This window comes from Homo sapiens, chromosome 8 (assembly GCF_000001405.40).
Source record: "Homo sapiens chromosome 8, GRCh38.p14 Primary Assembly".
Taxonomy (NCBI): domain Eukaryota; kingdom Metazoa; phylum Chordata; class Mammalia; order Primates; family Hominidae; genus Homo; species Homo sapiens.
In genome coordinates this window covers 140,631,900-140,647,489 of record NC_000008.11, presented here as the reverse complement: position 1 = coordinate 140,647,489, position 15,590 = coordinate 140,631,900, and the positions used below count along the sequence as shown (strand labels likewise).

The 15,590-nt window shown below is 50.8% G+C and overlaps 1 protein-coding gene and 1 long non-coding RNA gene across 5 annotated transcripts in view, besides 6 other annotated features; one reads left to right on the top strand and one right to left on the bottom strand.

Moving 5' to 3' along the window:
* Positions 983–2,182: an enhancer, noted in NCBI's record as "P300/CBP strongly-dependent group 1 enhancer chr8:141655407-141656606 (GRCh37/hg19 assembly coordinates)". NCBI's record gives its function as "activates an origin of replication core promoter dependent on BRD2, BRD4, P300/CBP, MED14 and CDK7 cofactors, with strong dependence on P300/CBP, by STARR-seq in HCT116 cells {active_cell/tissue: HCT116}" and the evidence as "EXISTENCE:reporter gene assay evidence [ECO:0000049][PMID:35650434]".
* The window catches only part of AGO2 (argonaute RISC catalytic component 2), a 122,158-nt gene continuing 111,744 nt past the window's right edge, over positions 5,177–15,590 (top strand). For 3 of the 4 annotated variants that reach the window (NM_001164623.3, NM_012154.5, XM_047421697.1), the window contains exon 1: positions 11,857–12,005. In NM_001164623.3, coding sequence (NP_001158095.1) covers positions 11,984–12,005 — 22 coding nt within the window. In that variant the 5' untranslated portion in view covers positions 11,857–11,983. Of the gene's footprint in view, positions 5,298–11,856; positions 12,006–15,590 lie in introns of those variants that run through there. The other variant, XM_011516968.3, reaches the window with a different exon arrangement.
* Positions 9,207–13,255, bottom strand: ERICD (E2F1-regulated inhibitor of cell death). The gene has a single exon (NR_170171.1). It is a non-coding gene; the product is annotated as an E2F1-regulated inhibitor of cell death (long non-coding RNA).
* Positions 11,293–11,692: a silencer, noted in NCBI's record as "silent region_19583". NCBI's record gives its function as "represses an Ori minimal core promoter by ATAC-STARR-seq in GM12878 lymphoblastoid cells {active_cell/tissue: GM12878}" and the evidence as "EXISTENCE:reporter gene assay evidence [ECO:0000049][PMID:35858748]".
* Positions 12,343–12,512: a silencer, noted in NCBI's record as "silent region_19582". NCBI's record gives its function as "represses an Ori minimal core promoter by ATAC-STARR-seq in GM12878 lymphoblastoid cells {active_cell/tissue: GM12878}" and the evidence as "EXISTENCE:reporter gene assay evidence [ECO:0000049][PMID:35858748]".
* Positions 12,852–13,618: an enhancer, noted in NCBI's record as "H3K27ac-H3K4me1 hESC enhancer chr8:141643971-141644737 (GRCh37/hg19 assembly coordinates)". NCBI's record gives its function as "activates a minimal SCP1, AML or CMV promoter by ChIP-STARR-seq in naive H9 embryonic stem cells {active_cell/tissue: H9 hESC(naive)}" and the evidence as "EXISTENCE:reporter gene assay evidence [ECO:0000049][PMID:30033119]".
* Positions 12,996–13,045: a silencer, noted in NCBI's record as "silent region_19581". NCBI's record gives its function as "represses an Ori minimal core promoter by ATAC-STARR-seq in GM12878 lymphoblastoid cells {active_cell/tissue: GM12878}" and the evidence as "EXISTENCE:reporter gene assay evidence [ECO:0000049][PMID:35858748]".
* Positions 13,619–14,386: an enhancer, noted in NCBI's record as "H3K27ac-H3K4me1 hESC enhancer chr8:141643203-141643970 (GRCh37/hg19 assembly coordinates)". NCBI's record gives its function as "activates a minimal SCP1, AML or CMV promoter by ChIP-STARR-seq in naive H9 embryonic stem cells {active_cell/tissue: H9 hESC(naive)}" and the evidence as "EXISTENCE:reporter gene assay evidence [ECO:0000049][PMID:30033119]".

Below are 15,590 nucleotides of genomic sequence, written 5' to 3'. Positions count from 1 at the left end.
GCTCACTGCAGCCATGAACTACTAGGATCTAGGTGTATGCCACCAAGCCCGTCTAATTTTTATATTTTCTATAGAGATGAGGTTTTGCCACGTTGCCAGGCTGGTCTTGAACTTCTGGGCTCAAGCAATCCTCCTGCCTGGGCCTCCCAAAGTGCTGGGATTACAGGCATAAGCTACTACGCCCCGCCATATTAGTTTTATATTTAGGTCTATGATTTATTTTGAATTAGTGTGAAGGATGTGAGGTAGATGTTGAAGTTCATTATTTTCCATACGGAAATCCAATTATTCCAGCACCATTTGTTGAAAAAAATCTTTCTCCATTGTCTTGCCTTGGTACCTTGGTCAAAAACCTATTGGCCATTTATGTGTGGATTTATTTCTAGACTTGCTATTCTGTTCCACTGTTCTCATCTGTTCTTATGTCTATGCCACATTGTCTTGATTACTGCAGCCTTATAATGACTCCTGAAACCAAGCGTAGTCAGTCTTGAAAGTGGCTATTGCAAATCATCCAATTTTGTTCTTTTTCTCCAAGATACTTATTTTTGGCTCTTCTAACTCACTTGCAGTTACATTTACATTTTGGCACCAATTTGTCAACTTCCACGTTTTAAAAGGCCCCTTGGGGATTTTGACTCAGCTTCTGCTGTGTAACAACACGTGTTCCCCTCACTCCACCTCTGTGCATTAGCTGGCGCAGCTGCGTGTGGCTGGGAGGCTCTGCCTCCAGATGGACCTGGCTTCACATGCCCTCAGCGACCAGGCTGAGGAAGATGCAGGGAGGAAGGTTTCTCTAGGCCACCTGGCTGAGACCAACCTGGCAACCAGACGGGGCAACTGCATGTAAGCCTCTGAGGGCAGGACTGCTGACATCCTGTCGACCGTTGACAGTCACACGGTTGAGCTCAGCGCCACTGGGGTAAGAAATCAACTGTAAAGGGCAAGGGAGCGATGACTTTTGGATGGTAATCTCATCTATCACACCTTTCTGTAGACACCCAGACTCAATTAGGGTCACAAAAGATCCTTTTTTTTTTTTTTTTTTTGAGATGGAGTCTCGCTCTGTCGCCCAGGCTGGAGTGCAGTGGCGCGATCTTGGCTCACTGCAAGCTCCGCCTCCTGGGTTCACACCATTCTCCTGCCTCAGCCTCCCAAGTAGCTGGGACTACAGGCACCTGCCACCACACCCGGCTAATTTTTTGTATTTTCAGTACAGACGGGGTTTTACTGTGTTAGCCAGGCTTGTCTCGAACTCCTGACCTCAACTGATCCGCCCGCCTCAGCCTCCCAAAGTGCTGGGATTACAGGCGTGAGCCACCGCGCCCGGCCACAAAAGAACCTTTTGAAAGCCAGGTGACTTCAGTTGTAGCTTCCATCACCCTGAGGCAGGATGGCTGAGTCGCCAGCTGTGGGTTCTCACCCAGGACTGTCGGTAGGAGAGCAGCATGCGAGTTCTGGAGGATATCCTGGGAGGGGTCAGAGCACTGAGTCACTGTAACAGAATTTCCTTCCATTCTCACCCACGCTTCCTGGGACCGCAGCTGTAAGCACTGACATTCACAAACATGGGGAACGGGAAAAGAATTGTTGAAGAGCCCTGACTCCAGCAATGGGTCATCCGGTTCTTCCTGAGTCTGGGAATTAGAAAAAGAAAAGTCCACTATTTTCCTTAAGAGATTATTTCCAACAAAAATGTATGACTAATGAGTGACACTTTCATGACTAATAATTATTATTCAAACTTTGTAATATATTTGTGTTTGATTAGTTGTGTTCTGACAGTTGTAATGATAAGTAAGCCCAGAAGAATGTTTTCTAACACTTGGTCTCACAGGAAATAAAAATTTCAGATTTCAATTTATATATACTTTTTGTTGTAGACAAGTATATAGCATAATCAATAAGATTTTCAAACATAAAAATATCTCCTTAGGATAAAAATATGTGGAAGAATTAAAATGGAAAATGGGTCCTGTGAGGAAAAGAGTGATGTGAAATATTAAAGAAGAGGTGGCTCAGGTACAGTCAGCCCTCCATGCCCTCAGAGTCAACCAACTGTGGATGGAAAATGTAGTCAGGCCTATGATGGTTATCTCTGTACTGAAGGTGTACAGACATTTTTCTTGTCATTATTCTCTAAACAATACAGTATGATTATTTACTACATGGCATTTTACATTGTGTTAGGTATTAGAAGTAATCTAGGCCAGGTGCGGTGGCTCACGCCTGTAATCCCAGCAATTTGGGAGGCTGAGGTGGGCGGATCATGAGGTCAAGAGATTGAGACCATCCTGGCCAACGTGGTGAAACTCCATCTGTACTAAAAATACAAAGATTAGCCGGGCACGGTGGCGCGCGCCTGTAGTCCCAGCTACTCGGGAGGCTGAGGCAGGAGAATCGATTGAACCTGGGAGGCAGAGGTTGCAGTGAGCCGAGATCGCACCACTGCACTCCAGCCTGGCAATACAGCAGGATTCCATCTCAAAAAAAAAAAAAAAAAAAAGTAATCTAGAGATGATTTAAAGCATATGGGAGGATGTGCGTAGGCTCTATGCAAATACCGCACCATTTTACATCAGGGACTTGAGCTGTGCATTTTAGTATCCACTGGGGGTCCTGGAACCAATCCCCCACAAATATAGAGGGACAACTACACTGTTTTGAATGGATTATATAAGATATCAAATCGATATGGTATTTTTCTGTTCCATCTGGTTACATTTTTTTAAGTGAGATGACAGTTTTATTTTTAAGTGTCAATATTTACAATGTTCCAGAAGTTATGTTCTTTGTAACTATTTAAACTTACATAATATTTTAGGTGTCAACTTAATGTGTAAGGGGGGTAAAAAAACATTTAAAATGACATTTGGGGGTATGTAAACAAAACTGTTTGAAGACTGCCCATGCCGAGTGCATTCATTGTATGGTGGAGTCAGAAGAAACCCAGAGATCAGCTACAGGCTCCCTGGTGTCATCGTGCCACTGTACCTGTTGGGACCAAGCTGCTGGGTTTCCAGCTTGGCTGTGGGATCCCTCTGCCTCAGTTTCTCATCATAGGATGAGGGTATGTGCTCTGAGGCTTGAATGAGTAAATACTCATGCAGTGCCTAGAACAGGTACTTGGGCCAAGGAAGCGCACTGTGCCATTGTCTGCCTTTTGATGGAAATGCATCTCTTAGGAGGCAGTGCAGGATCCCATGGGCTCTTAGGTAATCTTCCCATGGACCCATGCCGAGTTCTGCTTCTTCAGGAAACACAGAACAAGACTCTTCCCTTCTCTATATGTGAGCTCAATGAGAGTATATTAGTCCACTGTGGGCTGCTGTAACAAAATACCATAGACTGGGCAGCTTACGACCAACAGAAATGTATTTCTCGTAGTTCTGGAGTCTGCAAAGTCCAAGATCAAGGCACCAGCAGATTCAGTGTCTGCTGAGGGCCTCCTTCCTGGTCCACAGATGACAGCTTCTCCCTGTATCCTCATATGGTAGAAGGGGCAAGGCAGTTCTCTGAGACCTCTTTTTTTATTTTTATTCTTTTTAGAAATGGAGTCTTGTACTGTCACCCAGGCTGGAGTGCAGTGGTGTGATATAGCTTATTATAACCTTGAACTCCTGGGCTCAAGAGATCCTCCTACCTCAGCATCCCAAGTAGTTGGAACCACAGGTGCGCCCACTGCAATGGGCTTTTTTTTTTTTTCCCCCAAGACAGAGTCTCACTCTGTCACCCAGGCTGGAGTGCAATGGGGGCAATCTTGGCTCACTGCAACCTCTGCCTCCTGGGTTCAAGCGATTCTCCTGCCTCAGCCTCCCAAGTAGCTGGGATTACAAGCCTGCACCACCACACTGGGCTAATTTTTGTATTTTTGGTAGAGACAGGGTTTCACCACGTTGGCCAGGCTGGTCTCAAACTCCTGACCTCAGGTGATCCACCTGCCTCGGCCTCCCAAAGTGTTGGGATTACAGGCATGAGTCACCGGCTAATTTTTTTTTCAAGACAAAGAGACTTGGCCATGCATGGTGGCTCATGCCTGTAATCTCAGCACTTGGGAGGCCGAGGCAGGTGGATCACTGGAAGCCAGGAGTTTGAGACCAACCTAGGCAACATGGCAAAAACCCATCTCTACTAAAAATACAAAAATTAGCCAGGTGTGGTGGTGCACTCAGCTACTCAGGAGGCTGAGACATGAGACTTGCTTGAACCCAGGAGGCAGAGGCTGCAGTGAGCTGCTGAGATCACACCACTGCACTCCAGTCTGGGTAACAGGGAGATTATGTCTAAAAAAAAAAAAAAAAAAAAAAAAAGAGGGAGTCTCGCATTGTTGCCCATGCTGGTTTCAAACTCCTATTCTCAAGCAATTCTCCTGCCTTGGCCTCTTGAGTAGCTGGGATTACAGGTCCCAGCCACTGCACCAGCCAAACAAGGCCTCTTTTATTTTATGTGTTTATATTTCTTTTTTGAGAAAGGGTCTTGCTCTGTCACCCATGCTGGGGTGCAATGGCATGATTTCAGCTCACTGCAACTTCCATCTCCTAGGCTCAAGCGATTCTCCCACCTCAGCCTCCCAAGTAGCTGGGAGTATAGTTGTGTGCCACCATGCCTGGCTAATTTTTGTATTTTTTGTAGAGATGGAGTCTTGCCATGTTGGCCAGGCTGGCCTCAAACTCCTGAGCTCAAGTGATCCACTAACAGGGCTTCTTTTATAAGGGTGTTAATCCCAATTGAGAGGGTTCCATCCTCATGAAATAAGCACCTCCTAAGGGCCTCACCTAATACCATCACCTTTCATGTTAAGATTTCAACATATGCATTTTGTGGGGGGAAACACACACTTAGATGATGGCAAAAAGTTTGAAACAGTGACTTCTCCCACCCACTGCCTGAAATTGTCCTGTTATGTGATTAGACTGTATCCCCATGCTTCTCAATTCTGATGGCCCTCTTCCATGTGCAATGCCGCAGGGAAATGCAGGCTCTTGAAACAGAGGAACTTAGGAGAGTGTTGGGATGTTATGTACAGAGTATCCACTAAGGAACCAGGCCCTCATCAGGAACGGAACATATGTGCTCTCATTGTTGGTCACAATCAGCCATGTTCCCAATAAGGAGGCCACACCCATCTCAGTGGGCTCACAGGGTATCCAGGACTGGGTTCCAGAGCTGCACACTCCACCCGCTGCCTCTTCAGAGAAGCGGGGCATCTACCTTCCTTAGGCTAGTGTTGGCGGAACACAAACACAAAGCACGATGTCAGTGCCGTGCCGCTCCCTGTCTCCCCAGCGTCCCAATCCGTGAGTATGCTGTCTCCCTCCATTGTGAAATTCTCAGTCATGTTTCACAGATTTCTGTGCAGAGGTTTTGTACATCTTTATTTTCATTTGTTCTTCTGTTTTCAACTTTTCTTTTTTCCTTTCTTTTTTTTTCCTTTTTCTTTTTTTTAGTCTTTTTGAGACGGTCTCTGTTGACCAGGCTGACGTACAGTGGCGTGATCACAGTTCACTGCTGCCTTGACTGCCCAGGCTCAAGCCATCCTCTTGCCTCAGCCTCCCAATTAGCTGAGACTATAGGTATGTGCCACTGTGCCCAGCCTCATTCTATTTAAATTTTACTTTTAGGCCAGGCCTGATGGCTCATGCCTGTAAGCCCGGCACTTTGGAAGGCCAAGGTGGGTGGATCATCTGAGGCCAGCCTGGCCATCATGGCAAAACCCCGTCTCTACTAAAAATACAAAAATTAGCCAGGCGTGGTTGTGCACGCCTGCAATCCCAGCTACTCGGGGGGCTGAGGCACGAGAATTGCTCAAACCCGGGAGGCGGAGGTTGCAGTGAGCCAAGATCATGCCACTGCACTCCAGCCCAGGTGACAGAGTGAGAATCTGTCTCAAAAATAAATAAATTTTTATTTTTAATTGTCATTAGTATATAGAATTATGGTTAATTTTAAAATATTGGTCTTACAGCCAAAATCTTTGCTAAACAATGTATCAGTATATTATTTCAAAGAAACATGATACTAGGTAAGAATGATAGTATAAAGGAGTCATTGTGGAAAGCTAAAAATTGACACTTGTTTACATCATTATATACTTGGCTTCTTTGACAATTTTTACTTAATGTTTCTCCTCCTATGAAAGATAGGTTGCTGTTTTGTGTGTGTGTGTGTGTGTGTGTGTGTGTGTGTGTGTGTGTTTTGAGACAGCGTCTTGCTCTATCACCCAGACTAGAGCGCAGTGGTACAATCACAGCTCACTGCATCCTCAGCCTCCCTGAGGGCTTAGGTGATCTCCTACCTTAGCCTCCTGAGTAGCTGGGACTACAAGCACACAATCATGTCCCACTAATTTTTGTATTTTTTGTAGAGATAGGGTCCCACTCTGTTGCCCACACTGATCTCAAACTGTGCTCAAGACACCTGCCCACCTCAGCCTCCCAAAGTGCTGGGATTACAGGTGTAAGCCACCATCTTTAGTGAAAGATAGCTTTTATTTATCTCTTTTAACTCCAGAAAATGCTACAAGCTGGATACACCACATCCACACAAATCTCCCAAGGACTTTGTAGAAGATGCATTGGGATGAATTTGTAACTCTTGACCTTAAACAATTTGTGGCAGCATCTCTCATGTGCTCTGGGTGGTCTTCACATCATGCTTAGGAACACCAGCTGGGCCAGGCGTGGTGGCTCACGCCTGTAATCCTAGCACTTTGGGAGGCCAAGGCGGGCGGATCACAAGGTCAGGAGTTCGAGACCAGCCTGGCCAATATGGTGAAACCCCGTCTCTACTACAAATACAAAAAATTAGCTGGGCATGGTGGCGCATGCCAGTACTCCTAGCTACTCAGGAGGCTGAGGTAGGAGAATCGCTTGAACCCGGGAGGTGGAGGTTGCAGTGAGCTGGGATTGCACCACTGGCACTCTAGCCTGTGCAACAGAGCGAGACTCCATCTCAAAAAAAAAAGAAACACCAGCTGTCCTCAGGCTGGGGCAAAGGAAGGCAAGGGCACCCACACCTCATAGGTGAGACACCATCCTTTGAAGAGGAACTAGATTCAGAGTTAAATTTAGGGGGCTGTAAGTAAGTGTGCCAGACTAAAAAGCAGAGATCAATGCCTGCCTGAAAAAAATACAGTTTGAAAAGAAAAAAAATAATAAAACAAACAAAAAGAATGCAGTTTGGCTGTGCATGGTGGCTCACGCCTGTAATCCCAGCACTTCGGGAGGCCAAGGCAGACAGATCACTTGAGGTCAGGAGCTCAAGACAAGCCTGGCCAACATGATGAAACCCCATCTCTACTAAAAATACAAAAAATTAGCCGGGTGTGGTGGCATGCGCCTGTAATCCCAGCTGCTGGGGAGGCTGAGGCAGGAGAATCACTCGAACCCAGGAGGCGAAGGCTGCAATGAGCCGAGATGGCACCACTGCTCTCCAGCCTAGGAGACAGAGCAAGGCACTGTCTTAAAATTAAAAATTAAAAAAAAATGGCAACTTGAGAGGAAACAGAGGGCCAAAATGAAGTACCTCTTGTCTAGAGATGGTTACCTGAAGAAGCAGAAGGTGTGGCCTGTATTCAGACACGCTCACCAGTCAAGGGAACACCACATCCAGGCCCCTCCACCCTATCCTGCAAAGGGGGCCCAGCTGGCAGACCCAGTGGAGGATGGCACTGGCAGATTTTAAAGAGGTTATCATGGCCTGTTTTTGTTTTGTTTCTGAAACAGGGTCTCACTCTGTCACCCAGGCTGGAATGCAGTGGCACAGTTATAGCTCACTGCAGCCTCGACCTCCTGGGCTCAAGCAATCCTCCCACCTCAGTCTCCTGAGTAGCTGGGACTACAGATGTGTGCCACCATGTTCAGCTAATTTTTTTTTATTTTGTAGCGATGGGGTCCCCAGGCTGGTCTGGAACTCGTGGCCTCAAGCAATCCTCTCACCTTGACCTCCCAAAGCACTGAGACTTTGGGCACAAACCACTGCATATGGCCTGCTTAGTTTTTTTTTTTTTTCAGATGGAGTTTCGCTCTGTCCTCCAGGTTGGAGTGCAGTGGCACAATCTCGGCTCACTGCGACCTCCGCCTCCCAGGTTCAAGTGATTCTCCTGCCTCAGCCTCCCGAGTAGCTGGGACTACAGGCGCGTGCCACCACAACCAGCTAATTTTTTGTATTTTTAGTAGAGACAGGGTTTCACCGTGTTAGCCAGGATGGTCTCTATCTCCTGACCTCGTGATCCACCTGCCTTGGCCTCCCAAAGTGCTAGGATTACAGGCGTGAGCCACCTGCTTAGTTTTTAATTAAAAAACAAAACAAAACAAAAAACCAGTCTGGGCATAGTGTCTCACACTTGTAGTCCCAGCACTTTGGGGGCTGAGGCTGGTGGATCACTTGAGCCCAGGAATTTGAAACCAGCCTGGACAATATGGTGAAACATCATCTCTACAAAGATTAGCTGAGCCTGGTGGGATACTCTTGTAGTCCTAGTAACTTGGGAGGCTGAGGTAGGAGGATTATTTAAGTCCAGGAGGCTGCAGTGAGCTATGATTGCACCACTGCACTCCAGCATGGGCAATAGAGTGAGACCCTGTCTAGAAAAATACAAAAACAAAAAAAATAAGGTCAGGTGTAGTGGCTCATGCCTGTAATCCCAGCACTTTGAGGAGGCCAAGGTGGGAGGATCACTTGGGCCAAGCAGTTCAAGACCAACCTGAGCAACACAGTGAGACCTGTCTCTACAAAAGTTTTTAAAAATTAGCCAGGCATGGTGGCATGCACCTGTGGTCCCAGCTGCTCAGGAGGCTGAGGTGGGAGGATCACTTGAGCCTGGGAAGTCAAGGCTGCAATGAGCTGTGTTTTCGCCACTACACTTTCACTTTGGTGATCCTGTCTCAAAGTATATATTACTCAAAGAATCATAGACTATTAGAGCTGGAAGGGATCATAGAAGACCTCTACCTCTGTGTTTCCTAAATTATGCTCCACGGAACCTTGAGGTACCTCGTGAAAAAAGGGTTCTGTGGCTAAATGGGTTTGGGACAGGTTGCATACTGTCTCATGCCCTCCTTCCTCTTTGTAGAAGCATGATTCTTCTCACCTTGCTACAGGCTCTGAGAAGGCCTGCAGACAATAAACTTATTTATCATTGTTTGATCCAGTGCTTCCCAATTTACTTGACTTCCCAAAGCTGCTTTAATCATGTGCAGAACATGTTTTAGGAACAAATGATTTATTCCATTGCCTGCATTTTAGTCTTGAAGAAACAAAGTGCCCCCAAAGCCGAGGGCTTTGTCAGCCCTGTGGCCTCAGGAGCTTTCTCTGTACTTCCCCTCACCCCTTCTTTCTCTCTCATGGGGAGCTGGTGCTTTAGACTGAGTGCACCCAGTGTGCAGAGCTGCAGGCCAGGCTGCTGCAAATGTCCCTGGCTGTGATTAGAGCCCACGGTCTTATCAAAGCATCAGGATCCTAAAACACAGAGGAAGGAATTGTATCAGGGAGAAGCACTGGGTCCAGAAGACCCAGAGTCGGCTGAGTCACCATCCGGGTGTGGGACGTGGGTCTGGGGGACAGAGCAGCAAGGGCTGGAGACATGTCACAGCAAGCACCGAGACGCACAGTCAGATGAGTTAAGCAGGTTCACTAATGGCAGGAGAGGTAACAGGCAGAGGGGACTGCAGTTCTCAGCTCCGTTGGGTGGTGGATCTGTTAGCCATGCTGAGTGAGGGACACCAGAAGAAAAGCAGGTTGGGAGGAGGGTAGGGATGGGGCTGCAGGAAGCGGGCTGAATTCCTGAACACAGGTGTGGAGGGTAGAGACCTGCAGAGAATGGGCTTATCTAGGAAAAGAGCAGAGGGAACCCCGTGCCCCAGAGGGCGAACCCAGTGACTGCATGGGCCCTGGGGATAGAGATGGGGCAGGCAGCAATGGCACCCCTCCGCCAGCAGAGGGCCACGGTGTCCGCCATCCAAAGAGAAGTGACACAATGAAGCCCTCAGAGACATTATCTTGCCTTCTGGAACGAAATCCTTGCAACAAAGTTCCCCAACACAGCGCTCAAAGGAGCTGAAGGCGGGCTGAGGGCAGCCAGTGATGACAGAGCCTTCTGGGCCTTTGCTGAGGCGTGCAGTCGCTGACAGCAGGGCAGTTGGGCCTCAGGGATTTCGGGCCAAAACGAGTTTTGGGGATATGTGAAGGAGACAGGGGCAGAGAGAGAGGGTGGGCATCTGCGAACTGGGAAGATTGATGAGGTTGCATGGTTCATAAATAGGAAAGTGGTAACATTCATGATTATTTAAAAATTTCCGTGAAATACTACAGTAAAGGTACAGAAAAGCATATAAAGTAAAAGTGCAGTTTAAGGGATGGCTGCCAAAGGGCACCATTGCAGGAAGGAACAGGCCTGGCACCCCCAAATCCCCCAGGGGCCCTGCTGTGGTCACAGCCCTCTCACCCCCAGCTGTATCCACCATTCTGACACTTAGAGTAAGCACCTTCTTGCCCTTCTGTCAATTATTTACTACTTAATGATGCTTCCCTAAAGAATGCAGTTTAATTTTGCCTGTTTTGGAATTTTTGTGAATGGCTAGATTCCATCCTGTGAATATGAGCACACTGTTTCTCCATCCTGCTCTCCGTGGGTATTCAGTGCCATGCAGTCCAAGCGGTGATGAAGAATGCCATGCACACTCCTACCCAGGTTTCCTGGTGTTCATTACTACACATTTCAGGAGCACGTTTTGTATCGGCAACTTGGTGAAGACTGATGTCCTTTTGAGTTTTCGGAGGAAGTGCTGGTTCTCCTGCCCTTCTTCAGGGCTGTCCTCCGAGACTGCAGAGAACTAGTGACCACCCTGCTGGCTGCGGAGCTCCTGTCAGTCAGAACTCCTGTTTATTCTCCGCCCGGAACAGGGCCTTGCACCCATATGCAGACAGCCGATGCCACGGGGTGAAGGAATGCTCCGGGAAATCTGGGAAAAGGCGACCAGGCACTTTAGATTGTGGGTCAACCTCTGCCTTCTAATCCTCCATCACTTAGGGGAGAAAGGAGGTAGCCACAGGCTGGCTTTTCCAGGAAAGCCTCCGAAAACCAGACGGACCCAGAGGGACCGGACAGAAACGCTCGGAGGTGCACGACGGTCCGAGCAGGCCCCTGACTGCTGGAATGGGCGTGTCCGCTGATCTGATCCCTGATACCAGCTACAGTTTACTAAAAACTTCTTAGATTTTCTCAGTGCTTTAAACGGATTATCTGGGTTCTGGGGCCGCGCCGGGAGGTGGCGGTGTGGTCCTGCGCGAGCGGCCGGCCGCGTTCAAGTTCAAGCTCCGGGCTGGGAGGGAGCTTCCCGACCTCCGTGTTTCTGTAGTAACTTAAAGAGCCAGGCTGGGGGCCGAGGGGCTGAGGGTGGGAGGGTTCTGCGCCCCCCACCGGGGGGCGGCGGGGAAAGCGGGGGCGCGTGGCCTCCCCTCCGGCTCCGGCGGCACAGCCGGGGGGCCCGGCTCCTCCCCGTCGGGAAGACGCGGCTTCTCTGGGTGGCAGTGAAGGGTCCCCGGGGCCGCGCCCGCCCCCGCGCCACACGGGCCGCGCCGCCCTCGGCCCTCGTCCCCGCTCCCGCCCGCGGTTCCCACCGCCCGGCGAGGTCTCCGGGCCCCTCCCCGGGTCCCCGCCCCAGGCCCCGCCAGACCCGGCGCCGCCGCCGCCGCCGCCGCGGACCCCGCCCGCGCGCCCAGCCCCGCTCCCCCCGCGAGCGCGCTCCCGCCGCCGGCCTCGCCTCCCCTCCCCCTCCCTCCTCCTTCCTCCCCCGCCCCTCCCGCTCCCGCTCCCGCCGCCGCCTCCGCCCGCCGCCCCGGCCGCGTCGGGTAAACCTGTTTGGCGAGGCGGCCGCGCCGGGGCGGATCGTGCGGCCGGCGGCTCCCTCGCGGCTCGCGGCGTCGGGGCCCGTGGCGCGCGCGCGGCCGCCCCTCGGCCCCGGAGCCCCTCGGCGGCGCCACCATGTACTCGGGAGCCGGCCCCGGTGAGTCCTGGCGCTCGGGGCGCCCGCCCGGCCGTTCGCGCGCTCCTGCCCGTGGTTGGCGGGCCCGGCGCGGGCGGCAGGGGCCGGGGATCGGGGGGCCGCGGGGTCGGGGCGGCGGGGGCCGGGGGCGGGCGAGCCGGGGCCGCGCTTGGGGGCTCGAGGAGCGGCGGCGGCGGGGCCGAGCCGGCCGTTTTCTCGGCCCCGCGTTGGACGCGCAGCCCCGGCCTCCTCGGCCCCCGCGAGTCGTCGGGGCGCCCCGCGCGGCCTGGGCCCCTCCCGCGCCTCGGGCCCGCGTCCCAGCGTCCTCGCATCCCCCGCCCGGGGCCCGCGGGCTGGGGCCGGGGCCGAGGCGGCCGCCGCGTGTAGGCCCGAGGCCCGGAGCGCCCCGCTTGGCCCGGCCTCGCTGCCCGGGCGGGGATGGGGGCGCCGCAGCCCGGCCCGGCCTGACCCTGAGCGCCTGAGCGGGTGGAGGCCGGGTCGGGGCGCCCGGCTCGGGGCGCGCACGGGCGGGAGGGGAGGGGGCTGCGCCGGTCCCGACCCCAGCCGCGGTGAGTCTGTGGCGCGCTCCGTTGTGGCCCTTCTTGTTGCCGGCACTTCTTCGGCCCCTTTTCCCAAGGAAAGTCTGGAAATGCTGAATTTTGGCCAATTCCTGTAGTTAGGGCTGTCGCCTGGAAAGGGGAGGACGCGGCTCCCCGGAACCCTCAAACTGCGTGCGCGGCTCGTTCTCATTCCAGACACGCCGGCCTCCCCATTCAAGTGCTAATTCCTTTTACAATTTCCTAGGAGAGGTGAGGCGAGGTGGATTCCTGTAGCACCCCTTGTTGCTAGTCGGCCTTTCTCTGGAAAAGTTCTAAAAAACTTAAAGCGGTAACGCGTTGTTTTTCTTTTTAAATGCAGAGTAGAAGGCGGTCTCCTTGGTGGGCCAAAAAAACGGTCAGGTGTTCTCCTGCTTTTGGCGTGCTCCCACCGGGCACGTGGCTCCTGGCTCTCTCGGCCGGCCTGGCCGCTGGGACGGGGCACCGCCTGCTCCCCTTTGTCCGCTGGGCCCCAGCCGGGCCGCAGGCGGCGCAGGCCCCGCCGGGCTCTGGGCTTATGTTTACCCGGCCGGGCGAGGAGGCTCGCATTCCCGATGCTGCCCTCGTTGCTGCAGACCGGCCCCAAATTGTGGGGTCCGGAAGGCCCCCTGGCCCACCTTGGTCCGTTGATGGTGGCCCCCACTGCTGGAGCTGTTGGCTCTGTGCCTTGCGAATGTCGCGTCTTTTTTCTGATGTCATTTAGAAAGCTTCAACAAGGCGGAGTCTGACCAACTTTTCAACCCCTGAGGGCCATCAGCAGTTTGAAGAATGATTTTCCCCCTCCACCTGGGAGGGGCCGCAGTCCTGGAGCAGGTGCTGGCCTCTAGAGGCCTTGGGTGGCCAGGCCCCCTCTTGGGAAAGGACCGGGCATCCCCTTGTGAGTTGGGACCTTCCAGCTCCTCTTTGTAGAGGAACCCAGCTTATGGGACTGACAGCACTACATTTTTTCAGGTTATCGGTTTTAAAAGTTGGAGGCCCAGAAAAAGTGAAGAGGCTTTAAGGAAGGTCAAGCTTTCTGTGTTGTGTTTTGCGTGTTACTTAATTCACTCCACTTGCTGAGGTTGGTGGTGTTTGTGAAGACAGACAGCCGAGGCTCACAGAGGTTGAGAACTTCACCAAGGTCACACAGCAGTGAGTGAGTATCAGGACAATCGGTCCGACTTCCGAGCTGGTTCTCTGGGTGCCTTCCTCAGGGCAGTCCCTTTCAAGCCCTATAACCCAGACCCACAGTAAGAAGTCTCTGTTAGGGCTGGACTGGACCAGCACCTGCCCGCATACTTGTCATTGACAGCGGGGCTTCAGGAAGCCACCCCAGCTCACTGCTGTACTGTGTGCACTGCCCCGGGATGCTGTCTTGTCGATTTCATTTTTCAGCGTACCTTGGCCCTCATGATCCACAGGCTCGTTTCTGTCACTCGCTGCTTTTTGGAGATTGTTGCCTTGGTGTGGGCCTGGTAGGGAGTGGACCCTCTGGAACAGGACAGTGGTTGAAAGAATAAATGTGTCTGCAGGATAATTCATAGCTAATGGCAGGATGGGAATGAACCCAAGTTTCAGGTTGTACAAACGTGCTGTAATTATAAGTCTGTGGTGCAGTTCCATTTTATGCTACACATTAAGGCTTTTAATTTTGTGTAAAAGGAATTTTTGGAATAGTCTTCATTGAGACTCTTTTTAATCTTATACTTTCTAATTTAGAATTATAAGACATTCAATTTGAATTATAGAAAAATTACATTGGGAGGCCAAGGCGGGCGGATCACGAGGTCAAGAGATCGAGACCATCCTGGCCAACATCATGAAACCCCGTCTCTACTAAAAATACAAAAATTAGCTGGGCGTGGTGGTGCACGCCTGTAGTCCCAGCTACTCGGGAGGCTGAGGCAGGAGAATCGCTTGAACCCTTGAGGCAGAGGTTGCAGTGAGCCAAGATTGCGCCACTGCACTCCAGCCTGGGGACAGAGTGAGACTTGGAGACTCCATCTCAAGAAAAAAAAAAAAAAGAAAAGAAAAATTACAAATAGTTTTGCTACTTCCAATTGTAACACCCTTATTAGGCAACTTACTAATTTAAAAAGCAGTTCACAATAGCTCTACATTATACCAATCACAAACAAATGCTGTGACGTATGTGAATGCTATTTAGAATCTGAAGTTAGAAATGTTACTATTTTTTCGTTTTTTGAACTGAGTTAGTTGTTTAAGATGGGTGGATTCTCCAATGACCTTGAACCTTCACTGATGAACAAATTAGTTTTTTGGTTTTTTAACCATTTAAAGGTCTTGATCTGTGTCTAGTGATTGCCTGCCCCCAGGATATTGTCTCTTATGGTTTTGCTACACTTTCAAGCTCCCGTGTGTTACACCCCTCGCAGATTTGCCACAAAGTAACCTCTGTGACATCTAAGACTTGACAGTTGTCTAAATAGGATTGTGACTTTGAGAAGAGCTGAACTTCACTGTGGTTTATAGAGCCATTTAACTCCTCCTGCCCCCTCTCCCCCTTCCCTCAGTGGTCCCCATGAAGGTATGGCCACTTCTCCCAATACTGGTGCCCATCTGCCATGGCAGGATATCACCCTCTACCCGTGGGGCAGTTGACATGGCCGAGGCCATCGCGGCATGGCTGGGTATTTGTGCAGAGTCCCCCTTGGGTCTTTGATAAACCTTGGGGAATAATTTAAGTAAGTGCATAGGAAAAAAAGATGTAAACGCTTCCAAACTCCTAAACCCTGTGCAATTTGAAGAAGCAGAATTATTTTTTAACTTCTAGTTTCCATGTCAAAAGTTTCCACAATGCCAGTTGGGCTTATTCTCTGTGTGTTGTACAGTGAATGCTCTCCTGTAATGGTCCAGTCTCATAAAATGTGGTTTTGTTTCACGAATCGTTACTGTGAATCTTCAAAACATAACATTTGAGTTTTAAAAATAGTTAATATTGTGAAATAATTGAAAAGACATAAAAGTAGAGTGACTCATTTAATACCCCTCCATTTATCCATTAGGAAGC